Genomic DNA, 21,759 nt, shown 5'->3' with positions numbered 1-21,759 from the left:
TTTTTTATGGCTGAACAGTACTCCATTGTGTATATGTACCACATTTTCTTTATCCATTCATTTGTTGATGGACATTTATGTTGCTTCCAAATTTTGCCTATTGTAAACAGTGCTGAAACAAACATGGCAGTGCAGATATCTCTATGATATACCAATTTCCTTTCTTTTGAATATTTACCCAGCAGTGCGATTGCTGGATTGTATGGAAGCTCTCTTTTCAGTTTTTTGAGAAACCTCCAAACTGTTCTCCATAGTTGCTGTACTAATTTACATTCCCATCAACAGTATACAAGGGTTCCCTTTTCTCCAAATACTTGCCAGCATTTGTTATTACTATTCTTTTGGATATAAGCCATTTTAACTGGATTGAGATGATATTCCACTGTAGTTTTGATTTGCATTTCTCTGATGATCAATGATGTTGAACACTTTTTCATATGTCTATTTCCCGTTTGTATGTTTTCTTTTAAGAAATATCTATTCAGATCTTTTGCCCATTTTCTAACTGGATAATTGGAGTTTTTCCTATAGAGTTGCTTGAGCTCCTTATATATTCTAGTTAGTACCCCTTGACAGAGGGGTAATTTGCAAATGTTTTCTCCCATTCTGTACATCATCTCTTCACCTTGTTGATTGTTTCATTTGCTATGGAGAAGGTTTTTAACTTTATGTGATCCCATTTGTCCATTTTTGCTTTGTTTGCCTGTGCTTGCGGGGTATTGTTCAAGAAATTTTTGCCCAGACTGATGTCCTGGGGAGTTTTCCTAATGTTTTCTTGTAGTAGTTTCATAGTTTGAGACAATATGTAGTTTTTTAAAAATCACCTTATCCTCTTTCCACCCTCCTCCCTTCTGAGTCTCCAATATCCACTATACCACTCTGTATCCCTTCGTGTACCCATAGCTTAGCTCCCACTTATAAGTGAGAACACATGATATTTGGTTTTTCACTCCTGAATTACTTTGAATAATGGTCTCAAGTTCCATCCAAGTTGCTGCAGAAGACATTATTTCATTCTTTTTTGTGGCTGGGTAGTATTCCCTGGTGCGAATATACCTAATTTTCTTTATCCACTCTTCAGTTGATGGACACTTAGGTTGGTTTCATATCTTTGCAATTGTGAATTATGCTGTGATAAAAATATGCATGCTTGTGTCTTTTTGATATAATGATTTTTTTCCTTTGATTCCCATTTTCTTATTGCCCAAACTAAGAGTTCTGAGATGTCTTTGGAAAAGCCCCAGAACTATATTAACATGATATTTCCCTTCAGTTGCTTGCATCTGGTTTTGGTCCAGGAGATTCATTATTTTTGGAGTGTAATTGATTGCTAAATGCTTTGATGAAATTCAGGTGCACTTGAATTTGCACCTTGAGGTGCATGTGTCTTGGCTTGTTTTGTGTTGCTATAACAGAATACCTGAGACTAGGTAGTTTATAAAGAAAATATATTAATTTGGCTTACAATTCTGATGGCTGGAATGTTCAGAGTTGGGCATCTGCATCTGGTGGGGGTCTTAGGCTGCGTCAACTTGTGTCAGAAAGCAGAGGGAAGCTGGCATGTGCAAATCGATCGCATGGAGGGAGAATGAAACCAAGGAAACCAGACTCTAACAACCTGTTCTCTCAGAAACTAATCCATTACCATGAGAGTGAGAAGTCACTTACTCCCAAAGGAGAGCATTAGTCTATTCATGAGGGATCTGCCCCACTGACTCAAACACCTTCCACTGGGAGTCACCTCCCAGTATTGCCATATTGAGGAACAAATTTCAACATGAGTTTTGGCAGGGACAAAACAAACCATAGCACCTTGGATCATAGCACACTTGAATCCCAGCATAGCCTAGTAACTATGTCCAAAAGTGAAGTGAGGTTAACTCATTAGGGCTTACTCTTAGAGTGTCTATGTCCCCATTGGGACTCTTTAGATAGTGTCAAGTCCTGAAGGCCACTAGATTACTTTAAACCAGTCTTGGCAAATCAGTTTATTTTTTTCATTCATGGTTTCCCATCTCTTTAAATGAAAAAAAAAAATTACACCAACAGATTTGTTTCCATAAGCTTTTCTTACAATACAAATCTTTGATTCTATGAAAGTCCTCAATGTAATAAAAAACATTGCCTGTTCTATTACTTTGTTGAGTGTAAGACTATTTAGGTGAACCAATGTGCAGACACACCTGATTGTATTTTGTGTCTACATTTATTCCTTCATTCTTTCTTACTATATATGAGAAGTTCCTCCTCTTTAGACAACCCCTCTGCAGTGTTCCTTCATTATCTTTACTCTCAAAGATTTTTCTGTTGCTCTATTGAGTTTGTCTCCAGTATGTCCTTTGCACAGACTCTTTCCCTTCTGCTTCAAAAATGTGTAGTTCTCCCTTATCTTACAAAAATATAATTTGATTCTGTTACATCTTATAGCTTCTTCCTTCTACCCACAGATGTCAGAAATGAATGTTATCAGCTGCCTCTTCTCCTCTGTTTTTCATTCCTTGCTTAATTCATTGCAATCTGCCTTCTGGCCCTACTTTTCTGCTGAGATTGCTCTCTTAAAGGTAAATAGCCTACATTTTGTCAAATCTAATGGCCTTTTTATCCATCCAAATTCACATAGTGTTGACATTAGGACCCAACTAGACTGCAATTATTAGGTTCTGCTAAGCTTGCCTATCTCCATCCCAGCTAGAGCCACTTAACCAACCTCTGCATTTCAGCCTGGCCCCAGCACCTAGAAGCAGTTCTTGCTGTGCTAACAGTGGACTTAAAAAATGGTGGGACAAAGCAACAAGTTACACCTTGACATTAGCAGCATGGTCTTTTGGGCATTAGGCTGATTTTACCCTTGGGTAAAAGAGAACCATCAGGGACGCTCAAGGCTTGGTATAAACTTACGGTGGAAAAAATCTGCCTGAGATCTGGGAGGCAGGACTGACTCTAAAAGAGACTTTGAGAGGGTGTCAAACTCAGCCCTTAGCCTAGCTACTGTAAATAGCCAAGTGTTATGAACTGAATGCTTGTGTCCCCTCAGAATGTACATGTTCAAACTCTAATCCTTAACATGCTGGTATTAGGAGGTGATGCTTTTGGAAGGTAATTAGGTCATGAGGGTGGAGCCCCCATGATGAGACTAGTGCCCCAATAAGAAGAGACAGGAGAGAGCCTGGTCTCCTTTTGTCTCTCTTCCCTACCATGTGAGGTTACAGACAGAAGGCATCCATCTGTGAATCAAGAGGGGGGCCCTCACCCGAGCCTGACTATGCTGGCACCCTGATCTTGGACTTCCTGTCCTCCAGAACTGCGACAAATACATTTCTGTTGTTTAAGCCACTCAGTCTATGGTGCTGTGTTGTAGCAGCTCAAATTGACTGAGACATCAACGTTGTCCTGACTCAATGAAGCAAAAAAAGAAAAAAAAAGCCAGGATCTAGGCTTCAGGATGGTGATAAATTCTCAGAGTTTTTGGTTTTAATGATTAGAAACAAGTGAGGCTCATTTGAGAAGAGTCAAGGAAACTGGAAGCAAGGACAGCTCCGTAAGAAAAGGGAAGATAAAACCAGGGAGTTAGCTGGAGTTGAATGCTACTTTCCTTCAAGTTTTGCAGAGAGGGAGTGGGGATAGGAGGAAGGACCCAGCCCACGACATTAGGGAAGAAGGACCAGAACTTCTGACTACTGGCACAATCAGAAATAGATTAGTAAGTTTACAGCTTGATGCTCAAACTGGTGCTGGTTTACTCTAGGGTTCTCACAGATACCCCGCCTAGGATATGGAATTACTTCCAGACCCCAAAAGCTAGTTGGGAGAAGGCTCCTAACAGACTCTCAAGCTTTGCTGTCACTAATCTGGAACCTTAGAAGGGCTAAATGTGCATACTGCTTCTCAAACTGAAATCCTCATCCACACTACCTGAGATCTTGTTAAACTACAAATTCTGATTCAGTAGACTTGGAGAAGAGCTGAGATTCTGCATTTCTAGTAGACTCTGGAAGCTTTTAGGTAACAGTGATGTTGCTGGTTTGTGACTGCTCCTCTTTGCATAGCAAGGAGTGCAGGAAGCAATTGTTATTATGAGCAGCTGAAGGAGGGCAGAGCCTATCTTTTAGAGGAATCAGCCCTGGCCTTTGGCCTTTGGTTTTGGTACCACTGAAATCTAATGAATGTGGAGGATAGAGTTAAAAGCAATGTGACTGTGTTAGTAAGCTACCATTTGTTTAAAAAATGTGAAGGAAGAGAATACATATACGTGTAGGCTTCTATATTGTGGGTTGCTAGTTGCCTATTCAATATCCCTTCTTCCTTTATTCTTTACCAACAGAACCCCTGTATTTGGGACTTGCAAAGTATCCAGCTTAAAACCTACTTAAAACCTTAAAACCTACTTTAGGCTTAAGCCTAAAAGGCTAAACAATTAGATGTGATGTGGGATTTTCAAGAAAGCTCTTTAAAGGGAGCTGACTGCTGGGAGTGATATCCTTTTGTTCTTCCTTCTTCTTGCCTGGAATATTGATGTGATAGATTTCACTCTAGCAATTATGTTGTGCTCATGAGGTGACTTTAAGGATAAAAACTACATCCTGAGAATAATGACAAAGAAAGATTAAAAGTGCCTGAGTCTCTGATATTTACTAGCTTGGTGTGCCTGCCTCCAGACCTCTTCGACATGAGAGAAAAACAAATCTATACCTTCTAAGTGACTTCTATTTGGGCTCTTTTATGTGCTTAATTCAGTGTCTAAGTGATACTTATATGTATGTAATATTTCTGGAAGTTTATCCAAAGAACTGATAGCAGCTGCTGCCTCTGGAGAGGTGAACTATGCCCTGGTTTAAAGGCTGGGAGGAAAATTTAAATTTTGTAGCATTCCCTTCTCTCTAGTTTGGAATTTTCATTCCAAGAAGATAATATCAACAAACAAACACAAATAATAATAAATAAACAATAACAACAAAACACAAACAAAAGACCGAACAAGTGAAACCAAAACAAAAGTAATGTGAAAATCTTGAGTTCCTCGAGTGTTCAAGAAAAAGATAATTTTGAATTTTCAGTTCCTAGTTTCAAATCCTTTCAGTGATATTTTCTTTTCACTAAAGGTGAAAATGGACCCAGCTTCATTATATGAGTTTCATCAGATATTTGTACATGAATGGAAATTAGCATGAATAATTGACATTCAGCTCAACCCTAATTTTCTGTCTTGCCTACTGGAGAAATTTACATCAGGATCACTATACAAATAATCAAAACTCCAGCATTTTTGCCACTGAAATCAACTAAGATTTGAAATTCATATTTATGATTGATAATAAGTGAGGAGGAAGAAATATTTTTGAAAGTGTCATTGTTTGTTGGGTCTTGATACAATTCATTTAATCTATTATATGGAGTCCTGGGTTTTCATTGGTAGTATTATTTTATGTCCGGTATCCTGGGAGACACACATCTTTATATATGATCAACATGTAATTAATTAAGATTGTTTAAGAATTTTCTGCTAGCACAAACATCTTCATCTGCCTTTCAAGGCTCTGTTTTACAACAAACTCAATCTTCTGTCTCCTCTAGCCAGGAAAACATTCTACTGTGATGACCAAACTTTCCATACTTTCCTATCATTCCAGCCATTTGATCATGGATATTTCCAGGGTCTGGATATTGGCCTCCATTTTTACCTTCCCAGTTATATATATCCTTGTGTGTACACAGTTAGTTATGTGCATATGTGCATATGTGTGCACGCACACACACACACACACATTCAAGGAGTAGCTCAAACCCTGCAGTAAACATCACCGGCTTCCCCTCACTTCTCCAGTTCACACTGAATCACTGGAACAAATATAACACACTGGTGTCCTTAGTCTATGTCCAGCCCATAGCCCATAGCTTATAGATATATTTCATTTGGTTCATATGTTGTTTCCTTAAAATGTTATGATGGTTGTCAAAAGGGAAATATTATTTTAGAAGGTCATTTTGGAAGATTTCACATAAAAATTCAAGTTTTTCATTTCTCTTAAAAAATTAGAGGAAAAATTGGACCTAAATTCTGTATATCAGCAGTCCACTCAAACTGAGTGGCTGCTACTCCTTGAAACAGTGCAATCACATTTTTTGGAGTCCTCACACCCTATTTGCAGGCCACTGAGCCATTTGAGTGTTTCTCCTTAACGTACGGACATGGAGGAGCCTTGACCCAGAGGGAAAAGCATGGATGGGAGGTGAGGTGAGCAAGTTGCCCTGAGCTCAACCTTTTATGCACAAATTTGTAGGTCTCTGCATTTATCTGGAGAAGTTGATTCAGTGACATTTAGAACCATGCTGCACTTCTTGGTACAGAGCTGTCCACTCTCGATAGCTATGTGAAAAAATTATACAATTTATTTTCCTCTTATTAAACCACCTTTTTATACTGATATACACTTTTGAGATGGAATAAAGCCTATTGAGTTAAAGGATCCCTCCCCATCCCTTTATTTTTTAGGTCATGAAATTGACCCACAGAACTAGTTATCACCACCAACAAATCTCATTGCCATTTTTTAACTCTTTTATGCTGGTGTGTCTGACCTTTCCAAATTAATGACAGATTCTCAGAGGAAGGAGTATCACCTTCTTCTATTTGTTTGTGAGAAGCTAATAGAAGACTGTGTGAATAAACAATGACCTAAATAATTTGTTACCAAATTAAACAACTATTTTTTTTTTACCAAATAAAACAACTGAGATTTTGACATGAGAGTACCTTTCTTTCTAATCTTTATATTTAAGAGTTCCTGTTCTTCATATTTGAATTTATTATTGAACCAGAGTAACAAGCCTGATTTGGTTTATTTATTTTCTTCAGAAATATGTTTGTATCTGTATTTTCAAACATGTGATTTCAGCATTTCACTAGGGTACTAATAATCACAGCCTGGAAAATATAAGGATATAACTAATTCATACTTCATTAGATTCAGAAACATTTTCTCACATCAGTTAATAAGACGACAATTTTAAAAATGTCTGCCTTTTTCTCCACATGGTGCTAATGTGAAGTATTTAACACTATGATGGAAGCAGATTTAGAAAGAGATTTTGCAGATGTCATTTGAAATGTTAACCTATGTTAGGATCTGACTATGAAATAATATTGTCTAAAGGACAATGCTCCTTCCTTTCCTTTTTATTTCTGTTTATTATTTTTTTCTAATTTGGAAAGATTTTACATTATATAATACATACAGATACCTCTACTCAGGAAAGTAATTAAATGGTTGTATAAAAAGGAACTATTAAGTATATCTAATCCTTGCTAAAATGAATTAAGGCAGCCTTAGGAATCTATTGTATCTCCTATGTCACCCATCTTCATCAGCCCTAGTTTTGTTGTTTGTGCCATTGCTACCAATTCTAATCCTACAAATAGCAGGAGTTTAAGCCTTATTCCACTGGTCATGGATTCTCAAATAGTTTTCAGCAGGGTCTTTCCTGACATCCCTACTTTAGTCTCATCATTCAGCTAGTATTTATTGTGTGAAGATGAAAAAGAGAAAGCGGGGGGAAGGCAAGGAAGAAGAGAAAGAGGATGAAGAGTGTGATGAAGAGAAAAGAAGGAGAAAGAGGGAAGAAGCCACATTCTTAAGGCTGAAACTATATCTTGTGGCTTTTGAAGGATTTTTATCTACATCTTAGAAATAGTAAAATTACCATGTGAATTGGTAAATATGGAAGGAATTTTGTCTCTGTTCAAAAGGCTAACTAGATGTAGCATTTTAATAGTTAATAGTGAAGTCAAGCTGGCTCGATTTTTCCACCACGCAGCGACACTTGCTGTATTAGTCAGGGTTCTCTAGAGGGACACAACTAATAGGATAGGTGTATATATGAAGGGGAGTTTATTACGAGAATTGACTCACATGATCACAATGTGAAGTCCCACAATAGGCTGTCTGCAAGCTGAGGAGCAAGGAAGCCAGTCTGAGTCCCAAAACCTCAAAAGTAGAGAAGCTGATAGTGCAGCCTTTAGTCTGTGGCCAAAGGCCAGAGTGTCCCTGGCAAATCACTCTTGTAAGTCCAAGAGTCCAAAAGCTGAAGAACTTGGAGTCTGATGTTCAAAGGCAGGAAACATCCAGCACAGGAGAAAGATGAAGGCCAGAAGACTCAGCAAGTAAGTTTCTCCCACCTTTTTCTGTCTGCTTTATTGCAGCCGTGCTAGCAGTTGATTGGATGGTGCCCACCCACATTGACGGTGGGTCTGCCTCTCCCAGTTCACTGACTCAAATGTTAATGTCCCTTGGCAACACCCTCACAGACATACCCAGGAACAATACTTTGCATCCTTCAATCCAATCAAGTTGACAATATTAACTATCATACTTGCCTCTGCCCATTGGCCTTCAGAAGGGTCCAGCATCATGGTACCCTCCCACCTTGCTCTCTTTCAGATATTCTCAGATGCAGCAAACTACAGACATCTGGTAGTCTTCAAAGGATAGAAAATTAAAGGGACAAAGCCATTTAACAATCATAAAGGGATAAAATTTTGGAAATACCACATTAGCAAATGGTGCGGAAGGACTTTGGTGATGAGAGGGTGGAATGAAAAACAAATGCCACACCCTTTCTTTTTGGTTACCACTTCCCTTTTGGGTAGACAGGCAAGCCTGCAGAGAGGGTACCTCAATCCTGTCCCTCTCCTATTGATGAGAGGCTGCTGGTGAGTGTGCAAGCAGGTTCATTCCAAGAGCATCAACATCTAATGGTGCTCCAGGTGGAAGAGATGAAAACTCAAGTATGGAATGCTAATTCTTTGTTTATATACATTTCATACCTGGATGCTCTTTCTACACTATTGTATAAGGAGCACAGAGGAAAATAAAGTACTTTCATTGTGGGCAGAGAAACTACTTTTCAATAAATTAGAAAATAACTTCATGAAACATAAGTTAGTTGAAAGGAAGAACTGGCCTGAACAGAGAATTGTGACCTGCATCCTGCATGTAGGCAGTGGGCTTGAATGAGGAAAGTACCTGTATGACATATCCTTTCATTGTTGCTCAAATTAGCTAACAAAAGGACAATTACAAACAAAGACAGAGCTATCAATGCTTATTTGCTAAACATCTATTTGGTATTGAGTATACTTATTTGCTATCAGAGAGCATAAAAATGCTTCCATAATCCCCTTGGAAGGGCAGTGTTTTTAAATGTTTAGTAAATGTTGGCTTACTATCCTTCCAAGGGAGCTTATCAGAACATTTTAATGCTGCTTCAGATCAACTGATTGAAGAAGGGTAGTTGTGGATTCCAACAGCTGAAACTATCACCTATTCAACTAAAGAACATGTTCAAGATAAATTATTTTTACAGCCTTTTCTACACACCACACTCTAATTGGGAAGGTGAATATAGAGCTTGTATTAATATATATTTTCTCTGTCTTGAAACCAACCAAAATCATATTGAGAAACTTTGTTTTTTTTTATACCATTCCACTGTGGCCTCTCAACATGGAACCAGAAATATTAATAAGATATATTTTCTTTCTTTTCAAACCCAAACCTAATTAAAAGTTATGCCACGCTCATCCCAATGTCAGACCTTTGCTCACCAAATTCTCCTCTCCGAATCCTGGCCGTTGCTCAAGGTCTATCCTAGGTGCTCTGTCATGAAGGCTTCCTGAGATCACCTCGATCTTCTCTGGAATTCTATGTTGTGTCTATTCTGCATTTCTAAATGAAACATTACCTAACTAGTTTTTCTCAACTTACAAGAACCAGAAAAAATATTTCTTCACTTCCTTAGGTACTTTTTAATCACTAAAAACATACTTATCCAAAAGTGGCATATCAGTTGTTCAATAATGGTTAGATTTTATCAGTGAGAAGTGATGGCTCCCTCCTTGGGAGAATCTACTATTTACTATCTCTCATCCTGAGCTTATCAGCAATACTATATTACATTATTTTGGTGGTCTTCTGAGGGACCTCTTATGATGTTCAACAAGTTTTGTTTTATTTTATTTTATTATTATTATTATTTTTTTCGAGATGGAGTTTCACTCTTGTTGCCCAGGCTGGAGTGCAATGGCATGATCTCGGCTCACTGTAACCTCCGCCTCCCAGGTTCAAGCAATTCTCCTGCCTCAGCCTCCTGAGTAGCTGGGATTACAGGCACCTGCCACCATGCCCAGCTAATTTTTTGCATTTTTAGTAGAGACAGGGTTTCACCATGTTGGCCAGGGCGGTCTCGAACTCCTGATCTCAGGTAATCCACCCGCCTCAGACTCCCAAAGTGCTGGGTTTACAGGCGTGAGTCACCGTGCCTGGACTGTTCAATAAAATTTTGAATTTTTATTGTACTGTTACTTTATTTTATTTTTCTTTGTAACTTTGCATCTAGTCCATTGCTGACACACAGCATTTGTCTAAGAAACTTTTGCTAAAAATTGAAAATAATTCTTTGGAACCTCTCAAATCAGTTCAACAAAAGGTAAGAAGGTCTCATTAAAAACCTGTTTGTTGAATAAACAACACAGAATAACACATAAATACATAACTCATTGCTCTAAAAGTAAGAAAGACTGATATAAGCTAAGAAGCAAGACAACTAAAAATTGTTCTAGTGGACTAATACAAAACTTCAGATAGGAAGGGTTGAAATAGATGGCAAAAAGCTAAATCACAAAACATATTCACTTTTAAAGATGCCTAAAGTTAGCAATTTTGTTTTTAAAGGTTACATTTCTGGTCTGGAAGGGAAAAAGCTTAGAAGTCGTCAGTCCATGCTCCAACAATAAAAGCTAGAAAAACTGAAAAATCAACAACTCTTCTTAGATACTCAGAGAAGTAAGGTTGCAGGGCAAACCACTGCTCCCAAAATTGGAGATATGCACGTAGGTACAGAGAATCACAACTTAATGGAACAGAAACCTAAACCGGGTAGAAAACTTTGGACCGTAATTGATGAATTGTTGGAGGCTTACAGTGGACCATTTGAAAGTTAAAAAATGAGGACCCCACACATTTTTGTAAGTTTTATTTACAGGAGCTCCACCAAGTTCTCACAGTGAGTATTAGAGAAAAATCCCCTTGTGCCCTCAGCAGGGCTAGGGGAAAAGAAACCGTTTTGAAATATGTCAGAGCATTCTGTTCTTAACAAGCCCTGCTCTCAAGAGAAACTTTTATTTTAAACATGACCTAAACTATTAGGATTTTATCAGAACCTAATGACCTGGGGAAAGAGAAATACCCAACTCTAGCCTGCTTTACTAATCCTTTCTCATCTAAGTGGGAGAGCAAAAAACTAAGACTTATTTGTGAAGGTCACAATTCAGAGGCTCAAAAACTGAGACTTAATCGCAAGGCTGTAAAATGCATCACTTCCCCCTACACCTTACCACCACATCGTTAAAGGCACATTTATCATGTTTCCTTCTGCTCTGCACTTACGTCCAGCTATCAGAAAACAATTACAAGGCATACTAAAAGAGAACTTCAAACTTCTTAGTTTGAAGAGACAAAGGAAGTATCAGAGCCAGACTCAGAAATGGCATGAATGTTGGAATTACTGGAATAAAAATTTGAAACAACTATTATTAATATGCTAAGGGGTTTAATGAAAAAATTGGTCAGCATGCAAAACACAAGGACAATGTAAGCAGAGAAATGGAATTCTAAGAAAAAAGTAAAAGGAAATGCTAGAGATAAAAAACATTGTATAAGAAATAAAGGATGCTTTTGTTGGGCTCATTACTAGACTAGACACAGCTGAGGAAAATCTCTGAGCTTGCGCATATATCAACAGAAACCTTCAAAATGAAAAAGCAAATAAAAAAACTAAGAAACAATAACAGTTATTTAAAAAACAAGAACAGGTTATTTAAAAACAGTGGGACAACTACAAAAGGTATAAAATATGTGTAATAAGAAGAGCAGAAGGAGAAAAAAGAGAGAAAGGAGCAGAAGTAATACTTGCAGTAACAATGACTGAAGAGTTTCTTAAATTAATATCAGATATCAACCCACAGATCCAAGAAGCTCCAAGAACAGGATAAATGCCAAAAAAACTACATACAGGCCTATCATAGAAGAGAAGCAGGTAGATACAGAGATTCATAACTTAAAATCAGAAAATCAAAGATAAGGAAAAAAGTTCTGAAAAAAACCAGAGGCAGAAAAAAAACACAACACTTTACTTACAGAGGAGAAAAGAATTACAACTGACTTATCCTTGGAAACCATGAAAGCAAGAAGAGAGAGAAGTGAAATATTTAGTGTTCAGTACACACATATGTTTATTGCAGCACTATTTACAATAGCAAAGACTTGGAACCAACCCAAATGTCCATCAATAATAGACAGGATAAAGAAAATGTGACACATAGACACCATGGAATACTATGCAGCCATAAAAAAGAGTGAGTTCATGTCCTTTGTAGAGATGTGGATGAAGCTGGAGGCCATCATCCTCAGCAAACTAACACAGAACAGAAAACCAAACACTGCATGTTCTCACTCCTAAGTGGGAGTTGAACAATGAGAACACAGGGACCCAGGGAGGAGAACATCACACACTGGGGTCTGTCGGGGGTGGAGGCCAAGGAGGGAGAGAGCATTAGGACAAATACTTAATGCATGCAGGGCTTAAAACCTAGATGATAGGTTGATGGGTACAGCAAACCACTATGGTATACCTGTGTAACAAACTTGCAAGTTCTGCACATGTATCCCAGAACTTAAAGTAAAATTAAAAAGAGAGAAGTATTTACTGTTAAGAAAAGACCTTCACCAACCTAAAATTCTGCACCCTGTGAAATTATCCCTTTAAACTGAAGAAGAAATAAAGATTTTATTATAAAATAAAAAATTGAGATAATTTGTTGACAAGAAATTCTTTAGAGAGCTGTAAAGTAATATAGGTTAGAGAAACTTGTATCCACATAAAGAAAGAAAGAGCATCAGAGAAGGAGTAAGTGAAGATAAAATAAACATTTTAGTTTTGCTTATTCTTAACTGATCTAATAGACAATAGCTTATTCATAATAATAATATATTTGATTATATATGTTTACATATGCTTCTGTATGAGTAAAATAAATAAGTAGTGATACAAGGCATGGGAAGATAAACTAGGACTATTTTACTATTATGAGGCACTCACTCTACCTGGGAACTGGTATAGTGTTATTTGAAAGTGGACATGAAATTGTTGTGAATGTATATTACAAAGTCTAGGGCAATCACTAAAAAAAAAAGTTAAAGAAAGTATAATTGATCTGATAAGAAAGGAGAATAAACTTATATAAAATGCTCAATTAAAACCACAAAAGGAAGAAAAGGGTGGAAGACAAAAATAGAAACAAAGAACAAAGGTAACAAATAGAAAACAGCAATGAATATGGTAGACATTAATCCAACTATATCAGTAATTACTTTAAATGCCAATGATCTAAGTATACCAATTAAAAGACAGAGGTTGTCAGAGTGGATCTGAAAACAAGACCCAACTACATGTTGTCTATAAGAAACCCTCTTTAAATGTAAAAACACATACAGATAAAAAGTAATGGGGTGGAAAAAAATATTCCATGTTAACATTAATCAAAAGAAATAGGAAATAGCTATAATAATTATTGACAGAGCCAACTTCAGAAGAAGGAAAATTATCAGGGATAAAGTTCGACATTACATAATCACAAAGGGATCACTTCCCCAGGAAAACATAATAATCCTTAATGTGTATGGGCCTAAGGAAAGAGCATCAACATATGTGAGGCAAAAACTGATAGAAGAGCAAAGAGAAATAGAAAAATCCACTATTGTACTTGGAGACTTCAATGTCCCTGTTCAGAAATGGACAGATCCAGCAGGCAGAAAATCAGTAAGAACGTAGTTGAACTCAACACAACCATCAACAGATGGATATAATTGACATCTATTGACTATTTCATCCAGCAACAGTAGAATATACATTCTTCTCAAGCTCACATGGAACATTCAGCAGGAAAGAACAAATTCTGGGCCATAAAACACAACTTAACACAATTTAAAGCATACAAATCATACAATGTCTGCTCTCAGACCACAGTGGGATTAAACTAGAAATAAATCATGGAAAGATAGCTGGAAAATCTCCAAATACTTACAGATTAAGCAACATCCTTCGAAATAACATGAGTCAAAGAAGAAGCCTCAAAGGAAGTTTTAAAAATATTTCAAACTAAATGAAAATAAAAATAAAACAACAAAATTTGTGATATGCAGAGAAAGCACTGCTTAAAGAGAACTGTATAGCATTGAATACAAACATTAGATAAAAGCAACATATAAAATAAATAATCTAAGCTCCTACTTTAGGAAACTAGAAAAAGAAGAGCAATTTAAATCCAAAGTAAGTAGAAGAAAAGAAACAATAAAAATTAGAGCAAAAATCAATGAAATTGGAAAAAATCAGTAGAGAAAATCAACAAACCATAAGTTTAATAGGAAGCTATTGAATAGAAATAAAAAAAATCAATAACATTGATACACCTGTAGCCAGGCTAAGAAAAAAAGGGAGAAGACACAAATTACTAACATCAAAACTGAAAGAGGGGACATCACTACACATCCATAGGCATCAAAAAGACAATAGAATAATATTGTAAACAAATTGGACCACCTAGATAAACCAGATCAATTCCTTGAAAGACATGTCTGCCAAAATTCACACAAGAAGAAATAGATAATTTAAACAGGGCTATATCTATTAAAGAAACGGAATCTATAATTAATCTTCCCAAACAAAAAGCACCAAGCTCAAATGGGTTCACTGGTGAATCCTACCAAACATTTAAGGAAGAAATGATATAAATTCTTTAGTGCTGACGCAGGGGCTCACGCCTGTAATCCCAGCACTTTGGGAGGCCGAGGTGGGCAGATCACTTGAGGTCGGGGGTTCGAGACCAGCCTGACCAACATGGAGAAACCCATCTCTACTAAAAATAGAAAATTAGCTAGGTGTGGTGGCGCATGCCTGTAATCTCAGCTACTCAGGATGCTAAGGCAGGAGAATATCTTGAACCCGGGAGACAGAGGTTGTGGTGAGCCGAGATTGCGCCATTGCACTCCATCCTGGACAACAAGAGCAAAACTCCATCTCAAAAAAAAAAAAAATTCTCTAAAATCTGTTCCAGAAAATAGAGGCAGAGGGTATGTGATCTAACTCGTTTTAGGAGGCCAGCATTATCCTAATACAAAAGCCAGACAAAGACATTACAAGAGAAGAAAACTGCAGGCCATAGACACAAAAACTTCAACAAAATATTAGTAACTTGAATTCAACAATGTATAAAAAGAGTTCTGCATCATGACTAAGTGAGATTTATCCCAGTTATAGAAGGCTAATTTACTTTTCTAATATCAACTAATGTAATTCATCACATCAGCATGCTAAAGAAGAAAAATCACAGGATCATAGGCACACAGAAAGCATTTGACAAAATCCAATACCCATTTATAATTACAAACTTTCAGCAAACTAGAAGTGAGAAGAAACTAGGAATTGAATACAAGTATTAGAAAAAAGAAAGATCTAAAATTAATAATCTAAGTTTCAACTTTAGGAAACTAGAAAAAGAAGAGCAATTTAAATCCAAAGTAAGTAGAAGAAAAGAAATAATAAAAATTAGAGCAAAAATCAATTAACTTGGAAACAAAATCAACTTGGCAAAAAACATCTACAAAAAACCTACAGCTAACATCATATTTGATGACAGCCTATAAGTTTTTCTGCTAAGATCAAGAACAAGGCAAGGATATTCCTCTTACCACTTCTATTCAACATTGTACTTAAATTCTTAGCTAATGTAATATGACAACAAAAATAAATAAGAGGTATTAGGAACAGAGAACTGAAACTGTCTTTTTTCACAGATGACATGATCTTCTATGTAGAAAATCTGAAAAAAAAAAAAAAAACCCATAAAACTCCTGGAAATAATAAACAATTATTCCAAGGTTGCAGATAAGCAGTTAACATACAAAAGTCAATCACTTTCCTATATACTAGCAATGAATAAGTGGCATTTGCAATTAAAAACACAATACCATTTACATTAGAACCCCATAAAATGAAATACTTAGGTATAAATCTAACAAAATATGCACAAGATATTTATGAGGAAAATTACAAAGCTCTGACTAAAGAAATCAAAAGACTAAATAATAGAAGACACACCTCATGTTTGTGGATAGGGAGACTCAATATCATCACCATGTCAGTCTTTCCCAACTTAATCTATAGATTCAACAAAATTCCAATCAAAATCCCAGAAAGTTATCTTGTGGATGCCAAACAACCAAATCTACAGTTTATATGGAGAGCAATACGTCCTAGAATAGCCAACACTATGTAAAGAAGAAAAAAGTTGGCAGACTGTTACTACCAAACTTCAAGACTTAGTATAAAGCTTTAGTAATAAAGTAATACAGTAATAGAGAGAGTGGTATTGGCACAGAAATAGACAAATAGCTCAATGGAACAGAATAGAGAGCCCAGAAACAGCCCCACATAAGTATAGTCAACTGATCTTTGATAAAGGAGCAAAGGTAGCATAATGGAGCAAAGATAGTCTTCAACAAATGATCCTGGAAAAATAGGACATCCATATGCAAAAATATGAATACACTCCTTAAAAATTAATTCAAAATGCATTATAGACTTAAATGTAAAACACAAAACTATAAAATTCCTTGAATATGTAAAAAAAAAATCTAGGTGATCTTGGGTATGGCAATATCTTTTTAAATACAACACCAGGCAGGGCATAGTGGCTCACACCTGTATTCTCAGCACTCTGGGAGACCGAGGTGGGCAGATCACTTAAGGCAAAGAGTTCGAGACCAGCCTGGCCAATATGGTGAAACCCTGTCTCTACTAAAAATACAAAAATTAGCCAGACAGGGTGATGGATGCCTATAATGCTAGCTACTAGGGGGATTGAGGCAGGAGAATCACTGAGCCTGGGAGGCGGAGGTTGCATTGAGCAGAGATCGCGTCATTGTACTCCAGCCTGGGCGACAGAGCGAGCTTCCGTCTCAAAAAACTAAAAAATTAAATAATAAATAAATAAATACAACACCAAAAACATGTTCCTTGAAAGAAATAATTTATAAGCTGAACTTAATTAAAATTAAAAAGTTCTGCTCTGAGACAGTTTCAAGAGAAGGAGAAGATAAGTCACATTCTGGGAAAAAACATATGCAAAAGAGGCATCTGATAAAGGACTGTTATCCTAAATATACAAATAACTCTTAAAACTCAGCTATAAGAAAATGAATAACTCTATTAAAAAATGGCCCAAAGATCTGAATACACAGCTCACCAAACAAGATATACAGAGGTAAGTAGGCAAATACAAGATGTTCAACATCATATGTCACTAAGGTATTGCAAATTAAAACAACGATGGGATACCATTACACACCTATTAGAATGGCCAAATTCCAAAAACGCTGACAACGCCAAATTCTGGTGAGGATGTGTTGAGGATTCTGAGTTCAACAGAAACTTTAATTTATTCCTGGTGGGAATACAAAATGGTCCAGATGCTTTGGAAGACAGTTTGGCAGTTTCTTAGAAAACTAAACATATTCTTACCATATGATCCAGCAATCACGCCTTTTGGTATTCATGCAAAACAGTTTAAAACATGTTTGCACAAAAATCTGAACATGGCTGTTTATAGCAGCTTTATCTATAATTGCCAAAATTTGGAAGCAACCAAGATGTCCTTCATCAGGTGAATGGATAAACTGTGGTATATCTAGACAATGAAATATGCGGTCTAAAAAGAAACTAGCTACGAAGACTATTGCTGGGTTCTCTATTCTATCCTATTGAGCGATGTGCTATTTGTCTATTCTTTTGCTAGTACCACACACCTTTTATCACTGTAGTTTTATGCCAAATCTTGGAGTTGAGTAGTAAAAAGACATGGAGGAAACTTAAGTGCACATTACTAAGTGAAAGGAGCTAGTCTAAAAAGGCTACTTACTGATTTCAGCTACATAACATTCTGGAAAAGGCAAAAATATGAGTATAGTAAAAGAATCAGTGATTGTCAGGGACTATAGGGAGGAACAGATGAATAGGTGGAAGACAGGGGATTTTTTAGGGCAATGAAACTATTCTGTATGATACTATAATGATGGATGGAGGTCATTATACATTAGTCCAAATCCATAGAATGTACAGTGTCAAGAGTGAACCCTAATGTAAATGCCAGAGTGAACCCTAATGTAAAATGATGGGCTTTTGGTAATGATGATGTTCAATATATTACACTTGTAATAAATGTAACACTCTGATGCAGAATTTTTATTAATTAAACATTTTATTTTTTTAGAACAGTTTTACGGTCATAGCAAAATTGAGCAGAAAGTACAGAGAGTTTCCATAAACCCCTTGGTATGGGATACTGATGGTGGGGAAAGCTGTGCATATGTGGGGAGTGGGTATATGGCATGTAAATTAAATATACAGAAATGATTTTCTATGTGCTCTTTAATCAAATTTAAAATTAACCATGTAGTTTCAGCACGTGTATGCTTGGCCATGCCCACCCTCCTACAGTATTTAGTAGATTTTGGACTCTGATAGTTGACAAGTAGGATAAAGTTATGTGGAATAGGAATCTTCTATCTGGAGTCCCCATAGGGAAGATGCCTAAACCATCTATGTCCTGTGTTGTCTTTGTCATAAAACAGAGGAATCTGGAGGAGGATGTAAGTGTGCACAAAGCTGTAAGTAAATCTTTTAAAATTCCATTTTTTTAAGGGAAAAAGATCAATCTACTTAAAGTGTGCAATTTTGAAGAAATCTTCTCAATTTAACTGTGGTCCTCTATCTCTTCTCATCCCACACTTTGTTGTAAAAAGATGTAAGCCCCTTCACTTCATGCTAAGTTTTGGGCCCAGACTTGGCAGGAGGATGGGATGCTAGGTTTTAAATGAAATCTTTTTGTTGTGTAGGTAACTGTGGTGCTTTTGAGAAAGGATCTGTCTTCTGTTAAGTCATCTGATTGGAGGCATTGGATGATATCAAACACCTGTGTGAATTCAGTCCCCTGGCTTCACTGAGAGATGGGTTTGGCATGGTGGTAAAACGTCCAGACAGCTTGGAGCCATATCCCAGTGTTACCACTTATTACATGTGTTTCCTTGGCCAAGTTTTTCCCTCTCTCTGCCTCTTTGTTTCCACATCTAAAAGTAAGATAAATAATAATAATAACACCTAGCTCATGCACAAAATTTATGTTTAAATGAATTATAAATAAATTGGTTAATGTCTGGCATGTGGTATTACATGCTCATCTTAATGTAGGGACTGGCGATCTCTTACTCGGAGGAGGCTGTAAAGTTTAAGCAGCTTCTGCCACCTCTTCATTGCTTCCTAATAAGGTGATCTCAGAAGATGGACCCAAGGCTAAGGGCAGCCTAATATGGAGGACTTGGAATGGAGGCATGTAAGGTATGAATGAAGACATGCACAAGACTATGGCCAGTTGACGGGGTGGGAGTCAGATTCTGAGTCCTTGGTGCAACTCTCTTCAGACACTGCAATACATTCTCTGTGTATGATATTGCAATTCTCTGGGGGATGGATTTGACCTGAAACCAACATGTACTCCCATGAAAGGCTGCTGACCTTCCTGGGGAACAGTCCCTCTGTTAGGTGGGAGCATTGGCCTAAGCAGACAGGATGGGGCTATTCACAGGGGCAAGCCAAACACCAAGCTCCCACATTTGGACCCACCCATAGACAGCTGTGCTCATGCATGCCTCCTGTTCAACAAAAATACAACAGCATAATGCAACAACAAAAACACAACAGTATAACACAGCAGCAACAAAAACACAACAGCTAAAGAGCTTCTGCACAGCAAAAGAAACCACCATCAGAGTGAACAGGCAACCTACAGAATGGGAGAAAATTTTTGCAATCTACTCATCTGGAAAAGGGCTAATATCCAGAATCTACAATGACCTCAAACAAATTTATAAGAAAAAAACAAACAGCCCCATCAAAAACTGGGCAAAGGATATGAACAGACACTTCTCAAAAGAAGACATTTATGCAGCTAAAATACACATGAAAAAATGCTCATCATCACTGGCCATCAAAGAAATGCAAATCAAAACCACAATGAGATACCATCTCACACCAGTTAGAATGGCGATCATTAAAAAGTCAGGAAACAACAGATGCTGGAGAGGATGTGGAGAAATAGGAACACTTTTACACTGTTGGTGGGACTGTAAACTAGTTCAACCGTTGTGGAAGTCAGTGTGGCGATTCCTCAGGGATCTAGAACTAGAAATACCATTTGACTCAGCCATCCCATTACTGGGTATATACCCAAAGGATTATAAAACATGCTGCTATAAAGACACATGCACACGTATGTTTATTGCAGCACTATTCACAATAGCAAAGATTTGGAACCAAGCCAAATGTCCACCAATGATAGACTGGATTAAGAAAATGTAGCACATATACACCATGGAATACTATGCAGCCATAAAAAATGATGAGTTCATGTTCTTTGTAGGGACATGGATGAAGCTGGAAACCATCATTCTCAGCAAACTATCACAAGGACAAAAAACCAAACACCGCATGTTCTCACTCATAGGTGGGAATTGAACAATGAGAACACAGGACACAGGAAGGGGAACATCACACACTGGGGCCTGTTGTGGGGTGGGGGGAGGGGAAAATGATAGCATTAGGAGATATACCTAATGTTAAATGAAGAGTTAATGGGAGCAGCACACCAACATGGCACATGTATACACATGTAACAAACCTGCACGTTGCACATGTACCCTAAAACTTAAAGTATAATAATAATAATAATAATAAAAACACAACAACAGAACACAACAACAGTAAATCTCTCTTAGGGGGTAGAGGTATTTATTGAGGGTCCGAGGAGTTGAGGTGCTTCAGTGATTAATGTGTTTGCCAGTGGCCTCCAGCAAGACTCTTCTGTCTGTCATAGCAGCAAAATTACATACTTATGTTTTGCCTTCTCTGAGGGGACATAGTAATTGATAAGAAAAGGATTATTTGATTCAGTGGAGTATGGTCTTCATTGGGATTTTGTAAAAGGTCAGATTCTTCAGAAAAAAAATTTAGAATTGTCAAATCAATATATTCTCTTCAAACATCTAATCTACATATTTCCTTACTAAAAATTCCTCTTAGTATTCTAAAACACCTGAAGAAAATGAGAAGATTGAAACAAAGCAAATTATTGCACATATTTTATTATTGGCTGAAATGCAAAGTCCCGTATTTGATCTCTTTGTGTCTTTTTTTTTTTTTTTTTGAGATGGAGTTTCATTCTTGTTGCCCAGGCTGGAGTGCAATGGCATAATCTCCACTCACCACAACCTCTGCCTCTCGGGTTCAAGTGATTCTCCTGCATCAGTCTCCTGAGTAGCTGAGATTACAGGCATGTGCCACCATGCCCGGCTAATTTTGCATTTTTAGTAGAGACAGGGTTTCTTCATGTTGGTCAGGCTGGTCTTGAACTCCGAACCTCAGGTGATCTGCCCGCCTCAGCCTCCCAAAGTGCTGGGATTACAGGTGTGAGCCACTGCGCCTGGCCTGATCTCTTTGTTTCTTTCTCTTTGTTGATACTATCAATTCATATGAAAATAAGCCGTCCATTTATCCATTAGGAAAATGAAGGAAACTGTGTTGTGAAAATAAAAATAT

At 37.2% G+C, this 21,759-nt stretch overlaps 1 protein-coding gene across 4 annotated transcripts in view; it reads right to left on the bottom strand.

The window, feature by feature from the left end:
- The window catches only part of NKAIN3 (sodium/potassium transporting ATPase interacting 3), a 750,799-nt gene that overhangs the window by 100,245 nt on the left and 628,795 nt on the right, over window positions 1-21,759 (bottom strand). The window lies entirely within an intron of this gene.

Source organism: Homo sapiens, chromosome 8, assembly GCF_000001405.40.
Source record: "Homo sapiens chromosome 8, GRCh38.p14 Primary Assembly".
Lineage (NCBI taxonomy): Eukaryota > Metazoa > Chordata > Mammalia > Primates > Hominidae > Homo > Homo sapiens.
This window is presented reverse-complemented; position numbering and strand designations above follow the sequence as displayed.